This window comes from Homo sapiens, chromosome 6 (assembly GCF_000001405.40).
Source record: "Homo sapiens chromosome 6, GRCh38.p14 Primary Assembly".
NCBI classification, from domain to species: domain Eukaryota; kingdom Metazoa; phylum Chordata; class Mammalia; order Primates; family Hominidae; genus Homo; species Homo sapiens.
Window position 1 is genome coordinate 116043957 of NC_000006.12, and position 19548 is coordinate 116063504.

At 36.6% G+C, this 19548-nt stretch overlaps 1 protein-coding gene across 9 annotated transcripts in view; it reads right to left on the reverse strand.

The window, feature by feature from the left end:
* The window catches only part of FRK (fyn related Src family tyrosine kinase), a 169577-nt gene that overhangs the window by 112808 nt on the left and 37221 nt on the right, over window positions 1-19548 (reverse strand). For 2 of the 9 annotated variants that reach the window (XM_011535655.3, XM_047418554.1), the window contains exon 2: window positions 16012-16638. The exons of 1 other annotated variant lie outside the window; for it this stretch is intronic. In XM_011535655.3, coding sequence (XP_011533957.1) covers window positions 16012-16355 — 344 coding nt within the window. In that variant the 5' untranslated portion in view covers window positions 16356-16638. Of the gene's footprint in view, window positions 1-16011; window positions 16936-17042; window positions 17386-19548 lie in introns of those variants that run through there. 6 more of the 9 variants (XM_011535654.3, XM_047418555.1, XM_017010645.2 and 3 more) reach the window with 5 other exon arrangements.

The window sequence follows — 19548 nt, forward strand, 5'->3', positions numbered from 1 at the left end:
CTCTACACAAATAAACTAGAAAATCCAGAAGAAATGGATAAATTCCTGGAAACATACACCCTCCCAAGTCGAAACCAGAAAGAAGTTGAATGCCTGAATAGACCAATAACAAGTTCCGAAATTGTGGCAGTAATTAACAGCCTTCCAACCAAAGAAAACCCAGGACCAGACGGATTCACAGCTGAATTCTACCAGAGGTACAAAGAGAAGCTGGTACCATTCCTTCTGAAACTATTCCAAACAATAGAAAAAGAGGCACTGCTCCCTAACTCATTTTATGAGGCCAGCATCATCCTGTGACCAAACTCTGGCAGAGACACAATAAAAAAAGAAAATTTCAGGCCAATATCCCTGATTAACATCAATGCGAAAATCCTCAATAAAATACTGGCAAACTGAATCCAGCAACATATAAAAAGTTATCCACCATAATCAAGTCGGTTTCATCCTTCGGATGCAAGGCTTACTCAACATATGCAAAACAATAAGCATAATCCATCACATAAACAGAACCAATGACAAAAACTACATGATTATCTCAATATATGCAGAAAAGTCCTTCAATAAAATTCAACACCCCTTCATGCTAAAAAATCACAATAAATTAGGTATTGATGAAATGTATCTCAAAATAATAAGAGCGATTTATGACAAACCCACAGCCAATATCATACTGAACGGGCAAAAGCTGGAAGCATTCCCTTTGAAAATTGGCACAAGACAAGGATGATCTCTCTCACCAATCCTATTCAACATGGTATTGAAAGTTCTGGCCAAGGCAATCAGGCAAGAGAAAGAAATAAAGAGTATTCAAATAGGAAGAGAGGAAGTCAAATTGTCTCTGTTTGCAGATGACATGATTGTGTATTTAGAAAACCCCACTGTCTCAGCCCAAAATTTCCTTAAGCTGATAAGCAACTTCAGCAAAGTGTCAATACAAAATCAATGTGCAAAATTCACAAGCATTCCTATACACCAATAACAGACAAACAGAGAGCCAAATCATGAGTGAACTCTCATTCACAATTGCTACAAAGAGAATAAAATACCTAGGAATACAACTTACAAGGGATGTGAAGGACCTCTTCAAGGAGAACTACAAACCACTGCTCAAGGAAATAAGAGAGGACACAAACAAATGGAAAAACATTCCATGCTTATGGATAGAAAGAATCAATATCGTGAAAATGGCCATACTGCCCAAAGTAATTTATAGATTCAATGCTATCCCCATCAAGCTACCACTGACTTTCTTCTCAGAATTAGAAAAAAACTAATTTAAATTTCATATGGAACCAAAAAAGAGCCCACATAGCCAAGACAATCCTAAGCAAAAAGAACAAAGCTGGAGGCATCATGCCACCTGACTTCAAACTATACTACAAGGCAACAGTAACCAAAACAGCATGGTACTGCTACCAAAACAGATATATAGACCAATGGAACAGAACAGAGGCCTCAGAAATAATGCCACACATCTACAAACATCTGATCTTTAACAAACCTGACAAAAACAAGAAATGGGGAAAGGATTCCCTATTGAATAAATGGTGTTGGGAAAACTGGCTAGCCATATGCAGAAAACTGAAACTGGACCCCTTCCTTACAACTTATACAAAAATTAACTCAAGATGCATTAAAGACTTAAACGTAAGACCTAAAATCATAAAAACCCTAGAAGACAACCTACTCAATACCATTCAGGACATAGGCATGGGCAAAGACTTCAAGACTAAAAGAAAACCTAGGCAATATCATTCAGGACATAGGCATGGGCAAAGACTTCATGACTAAAACACCAAAAGCAATGGCAACAAAAGTCAAAATTGACAAATGGGATCTAATTAAACTAAAGAGCTTCTGCACAGCAAAAGAAACTATCATCAGAGTAAACAGGCAACCTAGAGAATGGGAGAAAATGTTTGCAATCTATCCATCTGACAAAGGGCTAATATCCAGAATCTACAAGGAACTTAAACAAATTTACAAGAAAAAAACAAACAACCCCATCAAAAAGTGGGTAAAGGATATGAACAGACACTTCTCAAAAGAAGACATTTATGCAACCAACAAACATATGAAAAAAAGCTCATCATCACTGGTAATTAGAGAAATGCAAATCAAAACCATGATGAGATACCATCTCATGTCAGTTAGAATGGTGATCATTAAAAAGTCAGGAAACAATAGATGCTGGAGAAATAGGAATGCTTTACACCGTTGGTGGGAGTCTACATTAGTTCAACCATTGTGGAAGACAATGTGGTGATTCCTCAAGGATCTAGATCCAGAAATAGCATTTGACCCAGCAATCCCATTACTGGGTATATCCCCAAAGGATTATAAATCATTCTACTATAAAGACACATGCACACATATGTTTATTGCAGCACTGTTCACAACAGCAAAGACTTGGAACCAACCCAAATGCCCATCAGTGATAGACTGGATAAAGAAAATGTAGCACATATACACCATGGAATACTATGCAGCCATAAAAAAGGATGAGTTCATATCCTTTGCAGGGACAAGGATGAAGCTGGAAACCATCTTTCTCAGCAAACTAACACAAGAACAGAAAACCAAACACTGCATGTTCTCACTCAAAAGTGGGAATTGAACAATGAGAACATGTGGACACAGTGAGGGGAACATCACACACCAGGGCCTGCAGGGGGGTAGGGGGCTAGGGGAGGGATAGCATTAAGAGAAATACCTAAGGTAGGTGATGGGTTAATGGGTGCAGCAAACAACCATGGCACGTGTATACCTATGAAACAAACCTGCACATTCTGCACATGTATCCCAGAACTTAAAGTATAATAATAAGAAGAAGAATAAACATTCCTTGAATAGATAGATCTGAGTACATTCTTTTTCTTTTTTAAAATAGTACTACTAGTATACCAGACGGAGGGAAAGGTATTAAAAATGTAGATTCAAGGTTTATAATTAAATATTCAAGTACCCCTGACTCAGCATTTCCAAGTTGTGGTCCTGATGCCCCCATAATCTACTGCCTGTATCTGTATTGTGAAGTTTCCTTCACAAACTTCTTCATGAGTTACATATATATATGTATGTATATATATTTATATACATATATATATATTTGCTGCCTCTACTTTAAGACCTAGGACTGAACTCATTCTTCCCACAACATGACCTCAAAATGTGAGAGGTCACCCATGACAAAAACTGATGAATTTTTCTAATAAATTTGGGAAGGCCAAATCCATGGAGCTAAAGATGAACCTTCAAACTAGCCTCACTCTACTCCAACCTCCAAATATCTAACCCACCAGGGGATACTGAATACTTACCAAATCTGATGCCGTAGAAAGGGTCAAGCCTTTGATAAATCACAACCAGACATCTGTAGTTTTTTTAGGAAACTGCAGACTCTACCCAGAGATGGAGGCAGCTGTGTTCCACTTCCTCTTTTTTTTTTTTTTAATTGAGATGGAGTCTTGCTCTGTTGCCCAGGCTGGAGTGCAGTGGCTCAATCTCCACCTTCCAGATTCAAGTGATTCTCCTGCCTCAGTCTCCCAAGTAGCTGGTATTACAACCATGTGCCACCATGCCTAGCTAATCCAGCTTCCGGATTCAAGTGATTCTTCTGCCTCAGTCTCCCAAGTAGCTGGGATTGTTAGGCTTTGTTCCATCACAACTATTTAATTAGCTCATGAGTCTGAAGGTTACCACTTTGGGATAGTATCTGCTGATCTTAGCTGGGCTTGCTCAGTCAGCTGATGAGTCAGCTGGGCCAGTAGGACATCTCTTCACATAGTCTCACTTCCTCCTGGAGGTTAGCTTAGGATTTTTATGGCAGTTGCAGGACTCCAAGAGAACTAAGAAAGAAAACTCCAATGTGCAAGTGCTTTTTAAGTCTCCACTTTTGTCACATTTGCAACTGTCCCATTGGCCAAAGCCCGTGATTTGGCAAAGCCAAGAATGAGTGTGGGAGGAGACTACCCCAAGAATGCAGATGCAAGGAAGCACAAAAAGATGGGACAGTTACTACAACTTACACACCACTTATTCACCTAAACTACAGCTATTTAAATCTAAAGACTTGATCTTTGCCTCATTGCTCCTGTTAGACTCTCATTGTTTGATTCTTAGAATCCTTGTGAAGTTTAAAATATTCTGCAGTTCTTATATTACTGTGACATCTATAATACCTTGGTGTGAATGCTTCAAAATCCATTTTTACAGAATAGAGTTGGCTCTTTGCCTTGACTTTTGTGTTTCTAAATTTCCTTTGGACATTTTCACTGAGATGTTCTACTGGGGCTTCAATTTCGACATGAACTAAAATTGAATGTATTATCTTCCTCTCTGTTTCAACCATTCCTTCCTTGTCTGCTTCAATAAAAATTACCATATGACACATGTATTTATCTTAATGTTTCACCTGGTCCCAAGTTACATTTTTTGTTGTTTTGAGACAGGGTCTTGCCCTTTCACCTAGGCTGTAGTGCAGTGGTGAGATGCCAGCTCACGGTAACCTTGACCTCCCAGCTAAAGCAATCCTCCCACCTCAGCCTCCTGAGTAGCTGGGATTACAGGCAAGTGCCACCAGGCCCAGGTAATTTTTGTATTTTTTTTTAGAGATGGAGTCTCGCCATGTTGCCCAGGCTGGTCTCAAACTCCTGGGCTCAAGTGATCTTCCCACCTCAACCTCCAAAAGTACTGGGATCACAGGCATGAGCCACCATGCTGAGCCCCCAAATTACATATTTTTTGTGTCAGTCTCTTTCTCCTCTCCTCTTCTACATCTAATTTGTAGTTTTACTTCTACCATTTACCAAATAAGAATATATGAATTTACTTAAATTTTACCATTAATTTCCTTACCCTAAAAATAGTGATAAGAAAATTTGCCTTGCAGAGCTATTAGAAGGATTAAATTAGTTTTGTATGCTTAGCGCATTGAATGTATTCAAAAATGTTATTTTCCTTCCCCTTAAGTCTTCTTGATCCTTATTCTTGGGATTGTTCACATCCCTGCACTTCTTTTTTTTTTTTAACAGTACCACAAATTAAAATTAAGCCCTTATAACCTCAAGCCATGGACCTTTGAAATATAATTTCACTATACTTCTCTATAACTAGCTTATCTCTTCTCTAATCCATTCCTACCTCCTCGTAGTCTTTTCAAAGCCCTGCCTTCTATCTATTTCTATTTCCCATTAGATAAAACCCACTCTTTAAACTATCATACATGCTCTTTTCCAAAACTTGTTCCTGGCTATTTTTCCAGATTTGTTTCCCATTGCTCTTCTCCATGAATGCTTCAGCTAAACTCTACAACTTGCCATTCCCCGAATACACTTTTACTTTCCCTCCTGTATATTATTCAAGGAATTGTACTGAATTGTTCATCTCTCTAGGCTTTTAGAAATTCAGCTTGGTAAGCATTGAGTAAAACTAAATAAGACAGTCTTTCTGCTCCAGGAAATTTACAATCTCAGGAGAAAATAGATAGTCTCACTTTCTGAGATTATAAATTCTCTGGGGCACAAAGAGTCTTGCATAGTTTTCCAGGCAATCAAAGACTTTACAGCCTCATAAGACAAAAGTTTTATAGCTAGCTGTTATATGATAAAAGTACAGGCTCTGAGAGCAAGCTGGAGGCAGATAAATCTCACTTCCATCATTTACTAGTTGTGTGGACGTAAGCAGTTTACTTAAACTCTTTCAGCTTCAGTCTCCTCATCTGCAAATGGGGGTAATAAAAGCATCTGTCTCATAGGATAATAATATAAGACAATGCAAGTTAAGTTATTTGTATGGTAAGTGACATAATGGTATGCTCTCAGTAAATGTCAGTTATCCCTGACCATTGCTCTACTAACAATAAATACAAAATCATGGGAAAACAAAATAAATTAAGAATTCTTTCTATGAAGGTTAGAAAACTTTTAGGAAAAGGGTCATATGAGCTGAACCCTGAAAGGAAGGTATGATTTCCCCCAAATCAGGACTGATCTCTTCTATCTCTGCACTCATTCTTCCAACTATTTGTGTCTTCATTCATGAGTTGAACATTGTTTTTTACATGCACACTACATGGCAGACAGTTTTTGACACGCTTATGGCATTTATCAGCATCTGTCTATGCTAACTGAGGAAATGAAAATTAACTCTTGATATCCTGGACCTGGACTGGCACTTAACGGCTAGACCTTGCTGTCTTCTGTTGAACATAAATAATCTCACAAAACATCAACTTCAGACGAGGCTACACTGTGACTATGATGGATCAAGACAAAAACAAGATCAGATCATTCCATAATCAAGTCTCAACACCCACAAAAACATGGATATTGTCCATCCTAAAAAATGACCAAACATCTACTTATCTTGGCTAACCTGAGTGACTGATGTTTCTTAACCAATTCTAGCTTTATTCCCAAACTAATCTTCCATCTTTCTCAATAAGATTTATTAAATACCTAATTACACAGTTATTCCCATTTCTTAACAATATCCAAAACAGAGCAACGCCTGCTTCCTTAAAATCTCCCCAAAGTCACATCCCTAGATCTAATAGTGGGCCCTGTCTAACACCCTCTTACTGAAGCGCTCTACTCTTCACCATGTGTGTTCTCCTTCCCTGCAATGAATAATAAAACACTACAGATGTGTTCCTGATGTGCTTTTGACAAAGGGCATTGTCACAACATTCTTGGTTTACTAATCTTACCTCCTGAAACTGTAAAATTCTCTGGAGAAGAGTATTGTCTTATTAATTTTCATATCTCCCACTACACAAAAACAGTGTCTTTAATAGAGCAAATACATACAAAAAGTTTGTTGAATGGATAACTGAATCTCATAGAAACTATTTTCTTCAATGACCAGAAATGGTGAAAAGACATTGGAGAAAGTGTCCTGAATCCTGCTTCTCAAAAGTGCAACTAGGAGTATCCAGAAATTATTCTCTAGCAGTGACTTTGCAGGCAGTACAATGCTGGAAGTTGCAGGGTGGTGTCTTCGTATGTCAGAATTAATTATTATTCAGAAATGGTAAAAAGATATATGTGAGATCAAAATAGCATTACAATTACCTTATAGCTATCAACAATACTGGCCTTTCAGAGGAACCTTAAAGTGGGATCTTCTGAATCTTCCAAATCATGCTGCCAATGTGGTATACAACATTTGTGTTAACAGGAATATTTACTAAGAAATAGTATTCTAAATGTCTTTCAAGTAAGATACCTAGTATAAAGTTCAAACGTTCCTATTAATTTACTGAATTGCATTTTTATTTTACCCATAAAAAGGCACGGAAATCATGAAAAAAGTATTTGATTGAGAATTTAGTCTGAATTTAAAGGCACTATAAAATGCACCATCTGAATATTAAAAATACGTTAATAAAAACATTAAAGAATCTGACATTCAATCGACTCAATTGGTAAATAGAAAAATATTCAACTAAAAAACTTTGTAGAAAAAAATTGCATCATGACAGAAAGATATTACACAAGGGACAGTCTATGACAGTATCTGAATTTATCCAAATAAGCAATAAAGTAAGTGATCCAGAGTATATGATCTACATTTGCATCTATGCATTTTAGCAAATTTCTTCTGTTACATTAATCTTCAAGGGAACAGCCATATAAACTAATACTAAAGTTGCAGGCTTTAGGAAAATATCTGTAAGGAACCCTGCAATATCGTTAAAACTGCTATTAATCTATATAACTACCTTCCCTAGGGAAACTGGCTCAATCCTTTCAATGCTAAGAAGAGCTAAGAACCCATATTTAAAATGGGAGTCAGAGAATGCTGCAGAGAAATTAGTAGTTAATTAGTGAGAAAACTAGTAAAAAGAAGATAAAATTATTTTTTGGTAATGTTAGAATGTACAGTAAAAATCTATTAATATTCAGTGAAGAGTCAGACTTTCAGCTTATGTAAGCTGAAAAATATTTCATACACATAATAATTAGAAATTATGTATATTGAGCATAAAAACTGAAATTACAAGTCTGGCCCCACAACATTAATTTTGTAAATTGGATCTAGATTTGCTCTCCATTTAAAAGCTCTGGCCAGTAAATCCTCTACTTTAAATATAACCATAGTATGGTTTAATATGTGTATATGTGATTTTTAGACGCCATTTCAATGAGATTTACAGTCTGTTCCTGACTTGATATTCAGTCTACATTACAAAGAATATTTGAATTGGTCTACGACTCTTAAGTATTTTCTCCCCAGAGGTGGATTAGAGCAACTAATTTCTGAGAACCTGGGAATTATGCTTTTATGACTGTGAGTCTAACCAAATATTAAGGCATGAGCAATTTCATTGAGAAATGAATAAAAAATAGCTTATGCCTTTAATGTAGAATTTTCTGGTAGGTAAAAATGCAATTCAGAGAGGAACAATTAAAGAAGAGGTGTCTCTGTGGGCTGCTCTTTAAAAGACCTGAGATTTGTAGATAAGCAATCATTCATTTAGTTATTCATCTACCCAATCAGTGCTTATTATTCACAGGTATCATACTAAGCTCTGGGAGGAGCAATGGCTCACCTTTCCACTACCCACATCCATAGTTTACAGCACTGCAGAAAATAAATTAGCAGTAAAGACAAAGGGTGCTAACAACTCTAGGCAGGAACACCTCATGTAGTCTAGTATGTCAGGAAAGGCTTGGGGAAGGAGGAACAAATAGGGTGAGACTTGAAGGATAAGTTAAGCTGGTCAGGAAAAAAAGAGGAAGGAGAGGGTTATAGGCAGAGAGAATAGCCCATCTGAAGACCAAGGCTGCAGGTGAGGGAGAGTGCAGACGGTCGAAGACTGAAAGACACTCAATGTCCAGGACACCTGTTACAGGGAAAGAATATTGTGAGCTCAGACTAGAGTGGGGGTGTAAAGTATGATCCATTTAGACAGAAGTAAAAGAGGAGCTGCCAACTAAATGAAACATAATATTTATTAAACCTTACTATGTGTCAGGTTCTCTGCAGTGCACCCTTTCTGCACAGTCTCATTTATGTCACATAATGATCCTATAAGATAGGTGTCACTGTGATTCCTATTTAACAGATGAGAAACTGAGGCAGAGGGGTCAAGTAATTTGCTCAGGCTCACACAGCTAAGACATTACAGAGTCAAATTCAAATCTAGATCATCTGAGCCTATATTTTATGTTCTTAGGCATACCATAGGCTAGGTCAAAAAGGGTAACCAGCATTATATTTCAGTAAAACTCCATACACTAATGTTTGGATCTAGTTGAAACATTCACCAGAAGAACCCAAAGGCTGCTCTTATTTATATTGCCCATATAGGTTCTCACTATTGTATTGGTAGTTAGAAAATCTGAAGGGAATTTTCTGAGCTGCAACAAGAATTAATTGAGGCAAAGTTTTGTTGGTTTTTCCTCTTTTGGTAACCTCAAGAACAATGAAAGTGCACAGCATATAGTAGCTGCTAAAAGAATTTAGTCCTGCTTTACTGTATAGAAGGTTGTGTCTACTTTGACAATCTCAGTTTGGTGAGATTCTTGACTTCTATTCATCAAAAAGCAACACTAGGATGTATCTGCAGAGACAAACCATGGAATTAAATTAATTCATTTGAACAAAAGTAAACCAATTTGAATCCAATAGAACATTTTCTTTTCAAAGAATAAATTTGATCAAGTTAAAATTTGGGTTCTAATCTTTAAGACTGGAGCTCAGTAGTTAATGATTTATTTCACTCACATAAGATTTTTCCCATTGTTAGTAATTTGTAGAAAACCTGAAAAGCAAAAATAATCAATACTTTTACTAAAGAGTGATTCTGAATGACATATTGCAATTGGAAATTTTAAAGTATTATCAATGTTGCTACTTTTCCTAGAAAAGACTCCTAACTCATTTTAATGATGCCATACTATGTCACTTCACTGGTTCTCAAAGGTACTTTGAGATGCATGTAATCAAGCTTTACTGCTATTAATTACTTGACACAGGTATTAATTAAACTTCAACTGGGATTTTAACATAGTTGAATTGGTTGCTCTTTTCTTCACATCTATGATTTTGCTATTATTTTTATGAAATATATTCTAATTTAGTAGTTAATTATTTTTCTTAAAAATAGTGGCAATTTATGTAAAAATTTATTATATAACAAATTGAGTTAGTTATATTAACATAAACAGTACAATTATATTAACATGAAGTCAAATAATATTATACCTGAGATGAAATTTTTTGATAAATTATTTTAAAAACGTATTTGTCATATTCTTATTTTACATCATCATAAATAACATATGGTGAAAAATAAAGGATGGGGACAGTAACGCTAATTAATCTCATGGCATTTAAATATGCTTTTGGTTGACTTAAATGATTTGTGCTAAAATTTTTATCTTGATTAATCCAAAACACTTGATAAACAACCATATGTATATTTATAGTGTATTTTTTATAAATATAGTATTATTTATATAGTATATTATATATTATTTATACTATATTATATATAATATAATATATATAATATATAATAGTATATTATACTATTATAATATTATACTATATATTATATATTATATAGTATAATATAGTATAATACTATATTTTATAAATATAGTGTTATTTATATATATAAATACCTTTTTATTTCATTTCTAAAATTATAGTAAGTATACTTTGTCTTAGAGGAGAGAACCCAGAAATGCCAGGCATTATTTTCAGGCATTTATTACTAGGTATTATTTTCATTTTGACACATGGGCATTTAGTCTTCCCTGACAACTTACACAAAGGGAACAAAATAAATGATCTAGATAAAGAACAATTGTGGAACTGATCGCACACTGGTGACTTTTAATAATTCAAACTTCTCAAAGTAGATAACATCTATTATGTCAGAGTGGATTATGAATATTCTGATGACTTTTAAAATGTATTAAGGGTAATGTTAATTTTTAAACCACATTGTTTCTATACCTATAATTAAGATGCAAAAGCTGGTCTCATATCCCAGCTAAGAAAAAAATCTGCTGACATTTAAGTTGAAAATGATTAGGCACACTATGTACAATTTGTATTCAATAATTATTAAATTCCACAGCATTCAAATGACAAAATAGCAAAGCCTCACTCTATTTTAAAACGGTGATATAGGTGATATAAGAATCTTTCCAAGAATATACCACTTTGTTTCACCATGCTGCTTTCAAGCTCGACAATGGCAATCATCATAGGTTAGATAAAATCTTCAAAGAACTCTAGTCTGACACACTAAAGAGCAGCACAAGCAGGAAAATATGGCCTAAATACATGGAGAAAAATCCCATTACTTTTATACTTCAGAACATTCTAACATTTTTATACCATAATCATAAACTACCAACAAAACTACAAGTTACAAATATTTATTCTTGCTTTCTTTTTCAAGGAAGCCACTGAAATGATGAATAGATGAGGAATTGGAAATTATCTACCTTTCACAGTAATAAGAGGAGAAGAAAAACTTTCTACAAAATCCAGTACTTTGCTTCTTCCCCTGCTAAAGTGCTAACAAGAGATACAAAGACACCATCGTAGGTCAGTATGGGTGGCTCCTCTAGCCCTCCTACCCACAAAGGTATGCCATGCTCAAATTTAGGAGACAGAAATAAACTTTATGGCCTTTATTGTTTCACACATAAGTGTGGAAATATTTCTTAACATAAAGCCAAATTATATATATATAACAAAGCAAATACTAATTCCTCTGCCTTTGCTGAGTCATTCACTTAGCACCATACCAGGCCTATAGAATGGACTTAAGACAAAATTACTGATTCACAAGTAAGAAGATACACAAGAATATGACCTAGAAAAATGTGGAGCTTAATAAACAATAAACTTTAGAGATGATTGTAGTGATCTAATTTTCTTAATAGAATCTTCATTTATGTCTTTGAGAAGTGTATGGAGTCAGAAGTTCAGCAGCACATTTCATTGTTGTTATCATAACTTAAACTTAACATGCAAAGGGGAGTCAAATCAGCTATCTCAACTGCTGCCCTTGGCTTGCGTGGTCAAGTTGGCGAAGCAGAAATCATCAGTGGCTGGCTTATGTGATTATGTCCACCCCATTCCCCTCCTACCAATCCCCTTTCTGGGAGATTAAACTGATCTCATCTCTGACCCTAGTTCAATTTAACACAAAAGTATGTTAGACAACACCTAAGGTACACTTTAACAATTAAGCAAAAAATTGTTCATTTGGTTTTTTTTTTTTTTTTTGGTTGGTGGGGATTCGAGATAGGGTCTGGCTCTGTCACCCAGCCTGGAGTGCAGTGGCACAACCATAGCTTGCTGCAGCCTCAACCTCCCAGGTTTAAGCAGTCTTCCTGCCCCAGCCTCACTCTCTCGAGTAGCTGGGACTACAGGTTTGTGCCACCATGCCTAGCAAATTTTTTAATTTTTTTGTAGAGACTGGGTCTCACTATGTTGCTCAGCCTGTTCTTGAACTCCTGGACACAGGTGATCCTCCCTAAGCAAAAAAACTTTTTAAACTCTTTGCAGATAAATGATGCTACGTCTAATATTATTGCTGATCATATTGCTTTTTATCAATATTTTGCAATACTTGAATTTTTTACAATTAAAGCAATGAAATTTAAAGCCATTACTTTTGGTTCTAATATTTATATGTTATTTCCACATCATTATTTTTATGTGAACTTTATATCTTTAAAAACACCATAAATAAAATATTAAAGAAAGTTCTGATTAATAAGACCCTAAGGGCAAGGTTTTCGAGGGATTTCACATTGAAGATGTTGAAGAAAAAGACTCATCTCTAAAATGAGCTAGGAATAAATTCAAGTCGAAGATAAGATAAATCTAATGATTCTTCATAAAGACAAAATAAATCTTCAAGAATTGGTTTATTATATCACTTAGTGGAAGATATTCAGTAAAGGTGAAAAGCATTTCTAAGTGGGATAAGAATTAGTAAATTGGGCTTTTTAAACAATAGTTTGTTTTTCAACATCTCTACTTCCAAGTATAAAAGAAAACAAACAAACTGCAAACTAAAGCCTTAAACTAATTTTCCCTGGCACCAATAACTCCAGAAGTATTTGCAGTTTCTTCTTACAGATGCACATCAAAAGTAAAGACATAAAAACACAAATACTAACATACGTTGCATTAAACTGGTCTAATTAGGAATTAGATGACAGCTTTCATTGGTTTCCCATTGCCTACTCATCCCATACATGTGGATATAAACAATAATCTTTCCTTAAGTCAACTTACTGAGCTCATGATTTTAAAAAATTACGTTAATTTTCACAGCATTCAGGAGAAAAAAATAGACTTTTGAAAAAACTCACTGAAGAAAAAATATTAAAATAAGTTGTTTTTATATAATTCTTCAAGTGTTAAAGTACTGTGTGAGCCACTTGGACACACTCACGCAGAAGGCTGTTCAGTAAAAATCGCTTCTATTTGAGATGGAGGGGAATTCTAGAAGCTACAGCTACTTGCACTAAGAGTATTGAAGCAATTTTGCCTTACGGTGACAAGAAACTTCAGAAGTAAGCCAGGTTCACAGGTGAAGACCATGGTGTGCACTTAAAAGAAAACAAGTAGCCTGTTCCAGCCAGGAGGCAGAGTGGCAGCATTTTCTGGGCATCATGGTTTTTATTCCAGTGGATGTGAAGATCCCAAGGAAAGCTAACTACAGAGATCTAGAATGGTACTGACAGGTAGGAATGCTGCTGAGAACCAATTCCAAGAAGAAAGGTCAAGGTAATGTGCAGAGGGAAAAAATATTATTGGCTACAAATGACTCTGAGAATCAAAAATAGCCATAATAATTTAGTTGCCTTATTTTGTGTTTGTAGGCAAAGAAAATCTAAATTAATAAGAACACTGCTCTCAAGCCTTTTACCCAGAATATGATACCTTCGGATTGCTTGACTTGTTTCAGTTAATTTGCTTTCTTCAGCATTTCTAATACAGTCAAGCATGAATGTAACTGAACCACTACATACGAACATAAGAGCTCCTGTTCCCAGATAGTCAGGAAATCCATTGGTCATGGCAACCCCAGAGAGTTGCAGATGAGGAAATTGAGGTCCTAAGTAGTTATATGAGTTGAATATATTTAAAACTAACAGATTATGAATTCAAGGCATGAAACATTAATATATTATTATTATAATATACATGTTATGCCAAATATAAAATATGCATAATGCCATACAGGACATAGAAATCATAAAGTAGTGAAAACAGATAAATGCACATAAGTGTATCCAATATATAAAGATATTTCCTGTAGATTATCACAGAAAGCAAATGTTCACACAGGTGATTTTCCCACTTGATAACTGATCAATTCCATTCATTAAAAGTATATTTCAATTCATTTCTATTTAAGCATAAATTAAGACCCTTCTAAACATTTATAGGTTCTTGGTGTTGAAAAGAATCTCAAAACTCAAAACTCGTCAAACCTCCCTTCATATGTGATGTATGAGTTTGGAAAGCAGAAACAATGCTCTATGGCTATTTATTATTATCTTATTCCCTGGACCAGTAAGGGACGCTCACATAAAAATAAGAAACACTTACATGAGAACATAAGAGAATCTCCAATGGTTTCCCTATTAAGAAACCATTCTATAAAATGAGTCCATTTTGGCCGGGCGCGGTGGCTCACGCCTGTAATCCCAGCACTTTGGGAGGCCGAGGCGGGCGGATCACGAGGTCAGGAGATCGAGACCATCCCGGCTAACACGGTGAAACCCCGTCTCTACTAAAAATACAAAAAAATTAGCCGGGCGTGGTGGCAGGCGCCTGTAGTCCCAGCTACTTGGAAGGCTGAGGCAGGAGAATGGCGTGAACCCGGGAGGCGGAGCTTGCAGTGAGCCGAGATCGCGCCACTGCACTCCAGCCTGGGGGACAGAGCGAGACTCCGTCTCAAAAAAAAAAAAAAAAAAAAATGAGTACATTTTTTGAAAGACATTCCCAGTCTAAGGTTTCACTGGATTCAGGAAGCAATGAGATCAGGGCCAATGACAGTCTCCATTTGCTTCCCAACCCACCAGACCCCAAGTATCCATTGTCAAGACTATGTTTTATCCACTTTGTATTCAGTCACTACTAGAATAATCTCCTTTACCCTCCCCAACTCACCAGGCCCACTACTGTCTATGCCTGGCACTTGGAGGGGTGGTAGGTGGATGGATGGATGGATGGATGGATGGGTGAATAAGTACATAAAAACTTTCCTCTTTTGTTGCAATATAATTCATATTTCATTCAAATACCAGGATAAAGTCTTTATCTCCTCTTCAAGGAGATGTTGTCCTTTTTCCTATCAAAATTTACCAAATGTCTGTAGCTGGCCAGTTTCTAATCATAATAAAAACCAAAAGATATCATAATTTGGGTAGCATATCTCAGGATCTGGGAATTAAAAAAAAATCTATATCATGATGTCACTGAGAACATTAGTATCTTCTAAGTGTTGTCTTCTACATTAGCCCTGTATATTCCCATCAGAATGAAAGGGATTAGGATTAGAGCTAGGGCTAGAGTTGATATATTACCCTGGAATGTTTCAAAAGTTTTTTTTAAAAAAAAGAATCTGAAGTTTAGATTTGAGAATATCATTAAGGGAAGTCTTATAATTTACCTTCAAACAAAATGCAATTTTATTGCTAAAGTGAGGCATGAGTTATTTTACAGCCAAAGAGAAGGTACAGTATTAAACACATCATTTGTTTATTTTGAAAATACACCCTGGACCTGTGGATGTACATACTGTAATTGAAGTCATCTCAACAACAATTACTGGCCAGTTTCACACTCACTTAGCGGGGGAGGTGTGTTTCAATTAGTGGTTTCTTGCCAGTACTTCCTCATACTTTTTAGGCAACTCTTTGGACATTAGGGGGTTGTAGAGAAGTAGAAAGGAAAACTCATTACCCAGCCCTCAGAGAGTTCAGAAATTAAGTATAAGTTTGTACTACTCACGGCTCTGCCTGTAGGCTTCTGTCCTCAGCCACGTAGTTAGAAGGAATATAGCCTTGTAGTTGCTGACTGGAGCCATCTCGTCTTTTCTCCAAGTGTCTGGCAAACCACCAGCCCTCATGCAAAGTGTCCAGAACTTGAAGTTTGTCACCTGCTCGGAAGCTCAAGTCCTCAGCAGTCCGAGCCTGGTAATCAAACAAAGCCACAAAGTAGTGGCCATGCCTCTGTGACTGGGGAGAGCAAAGGGCCCCTGGATTTTCAATCACGGTTGACTTGTCTGCCTCCGTGGACAAACAGGGGAGATAGGGTTCTAGGTACTCCCAGAGCCTCTGACAGATGTTGCTCATTGTGCCTTGGTGGGGAGAAGAGGAGCAGGGCTTCTCCCTCTCCCCTTAGTCTCTGCGATCCACCTTATCTTCCTTCACCAGGCAACTTTGAAGTCAGCACCAACTCACCATACTTCGGAGAGTATGCAAAGTCCCGTTTCAGATCAGTCCAGCAGCTGGGTTGCAGCAAGTCCTACCTGGAGAGACTTACCGGCTTGCTTTCTGTGGCTGGAGGTGCTACCCCGAGGCAAAACTGAGCAGGAGCTGGGCAGCTGCTCACTAGGAAGGTGTCTTTTCTTCTTATCTGCTTAAGAATCCCACAACAAAAATAAAATAAAATTAAAAGGGCTTTATTTAGACAAATATCTGAGAACAGAATGGTGCCATCTTGCCTTTTGTCCCAATAAAAAGTTAGCAAGAGGAAGCTACTAACCCCTGGTAAAACCTCCACGTCTTGCTTTCGCCAGGAGCTCTCCCCCTGTTTCAAGTCTGTTCCTGTCTTTCGACCAGTCCGGATCTGGACGGCTCTCTCCTTTTTGCTAATGAATAACCAACCAGCAGAGGCTGTTGCCTTTAACATTCTGAGCTATGAACAGACTGTAATAATTTCCCCTTACTTCCTGGTTTCTTTCTGTCTGTGATCTAAATGGTATTCTGACCTCTTTACCCCTCCCATCTCCCACACCCAAGATAGACCAGATCCTTTACCAAACTGTTAAAGCAGCCGCTAAAATCTATATTCCTTTTGTTTCATCCTGGAGAAACAGGCTAGCCCAGGTAGCTTTTTGTCTTGTTATGTTCCCAGCACTGAAATTCACGGCAGAGATTTTTTTCCCTGACAAATAGGAGTAGAATTGTTTTGCCACCACTAGGGGAAATTTAAAAAGGCAAATTAAAGTATTTAGGTATTTCTTGTCAGACACAGAGCAATTGGAAAAGAACCATCAAGTCACTCCCTTTTCTCATTACCAAGAATAGATTTTAATAGCTTCAAAGAATAGTCACAGTCTGGAAAAGTAAGAAAGCAGCTGACTAAAATGCTGAGAACCCAAAATGTTGCTTTTTCCCACAGACATTTAATTTCCTATCCTTCAAGTACTATTTGGGAAACACACACACACACACACACACACACACACACACGCTACACACCAACTAGGTGACCAGTAGAGAAAAAAAGAGTAGAACAGAAAAAGAGCTCTTTGCACACTGCTGTGGGGGCTCTTTCTGCTAAACTTTGACCTCCAGATCTATGCTAGTTCTTACTAACTTGGCAAGAACTCAGGAACTAATGAGACTGACATCAGGACAGCCATCTCTAGACAGGCAGTGGTTTTTGCTTGACCTTCCCTAGTTCGGAGCAGCTGTCTCACAAATATGTGCCCTGGCAAAAACAGCCGGGCAATGAGTCTGGCAGATCAACGTACGGTCATTTATACTAGTAGACAGCATTGCAAACTTGTTTATGAAGTGTCACTGATCTCTCTATAAGACTTTTTTTTTATTTCTTTCTTAAAAACAATCTTTCTAAATGTTGTGAGACCCTTGAACCTGGCTAACCTATTCCTAGTACAAGCTCATAACTTCTGTTCTTTTTCAAATTGCAAGGCATTTAGTAATCAGAATAATCAAACTCAAGAAAAAGGAAGAAAGAAAGGAAGAAAGAAAGAAAGAAGAAAGAAAAGAAAGAAAAAGAAAGAAAAGAAAGAAAGAAGGAAAGAAAGAAAGAAAGAAAAGAAAAGAAAAGAAAAAGAAAATCAGAGAACCATGGCATCAGCCCAACCTGCTATTACTTTGTGCAAAAATCAGTCCATAGCAGTGGACAGATCAATTGGTTAAAATAAAATCTTGTGTTATGCTCCCAAGTTTCTCCAATTGTCTTTGGAGTCAGAGTACAAATAACAAGTTGACAGAAGTATAAAAGCCAAAAGCTGAGCCAAATTTTTGTTGTTGCTGTTGTTGTTTTGTTTTATAATGATATGAGACCTAAAATAGACTGTATATGTAATTTCATATTATATACAAAACAGAAAATATATAATACCAAATGACCATAAAGGATATTTTGTTCCAAATACAATAATGGATGTAAAAGCATAGGATTCTATTAATGCCCCAACAGAGGCACAGATGCTGAAGTCTTCCCTGAGACATCTACATGATCTAAAAATGAAAAAAAAAAAAAGAAAAGAAAAGAAAGAAAGATTTGGAAGCAACCTGAGAGATGTATTCAAACCCAATTTGTAAGTGGGGTTTTAGATTTTTGAATTGTCGGGGTTCTAAATTCAGATATACCTTTACTATAGTTATGACAAGGCATTCTGGAAAAAGACAAAGCAGCAGACCTGCACACCACAGTCATTGAGCAAGTGAGTGAAATTCAAAAAGCGGCCAACCATCCAAAGATGTCAGGTGAGCAATGGCCTGAGAACGCAGAGCTGAGGGGTGGAAAGAGAGAAGGTTTCTTTGTGTCCATAGTACCAGAATTCTCCAGTCACTCAATCTCCAAGTCTTGCAGTTATCTTTCGTTTGCTCCCTGGTTTCTTTGAGCTAATCAATCACTGAATTCTGCTCAGTCTTCCTTTTCATTTATTCCACAAACTTTTTTTAAAGCTCCTTCTGAGCGACAGCTGGGCACCAGACAGAAAACAGAATATTCTTTCCTAGATTATTCCAGAGGCCTCCTAACTGATCTCCCTTCCTCCAGCTTATTCCCATCTCTGGCTCATCTTGCACACCAAGATGAGTGGTGTTCATAATAGTTTATAGAGTAGTTTTTATAATAGTAACAATGACTGAGGTGATAAGTCATTCCTAGTCATTACTAGTAAGAGTAGCTATCTGTTTGGAAAGCTTTCTATGTGCCAGGCACTGTACTAAGAATGTTAGAAATAACATCCAGGAATTCTACTCCAGGGTATGTATCCAAAAGATTTGAAATCAGGAAGTCTGAGAGATATTGAACTCCTATGTTTATTGCAGCACTATTCAAAACAGTCAAGTTATGGAATCAATCTGAGTGTTCATCAATTGATGAATGGACAAGAAAATATGGTATATATACACATTAGAAACCTATTCAGCCTCAAAGAAGCAGGGAATCTTGTCATTTGTGACAACATGAATGAACCTGAAGGACTTTATGCTAATGAAATAAACCAGACATGGAGGCAAATACTGCATGTTCTGACTTATATGTGGAAGCTAAAAAAAA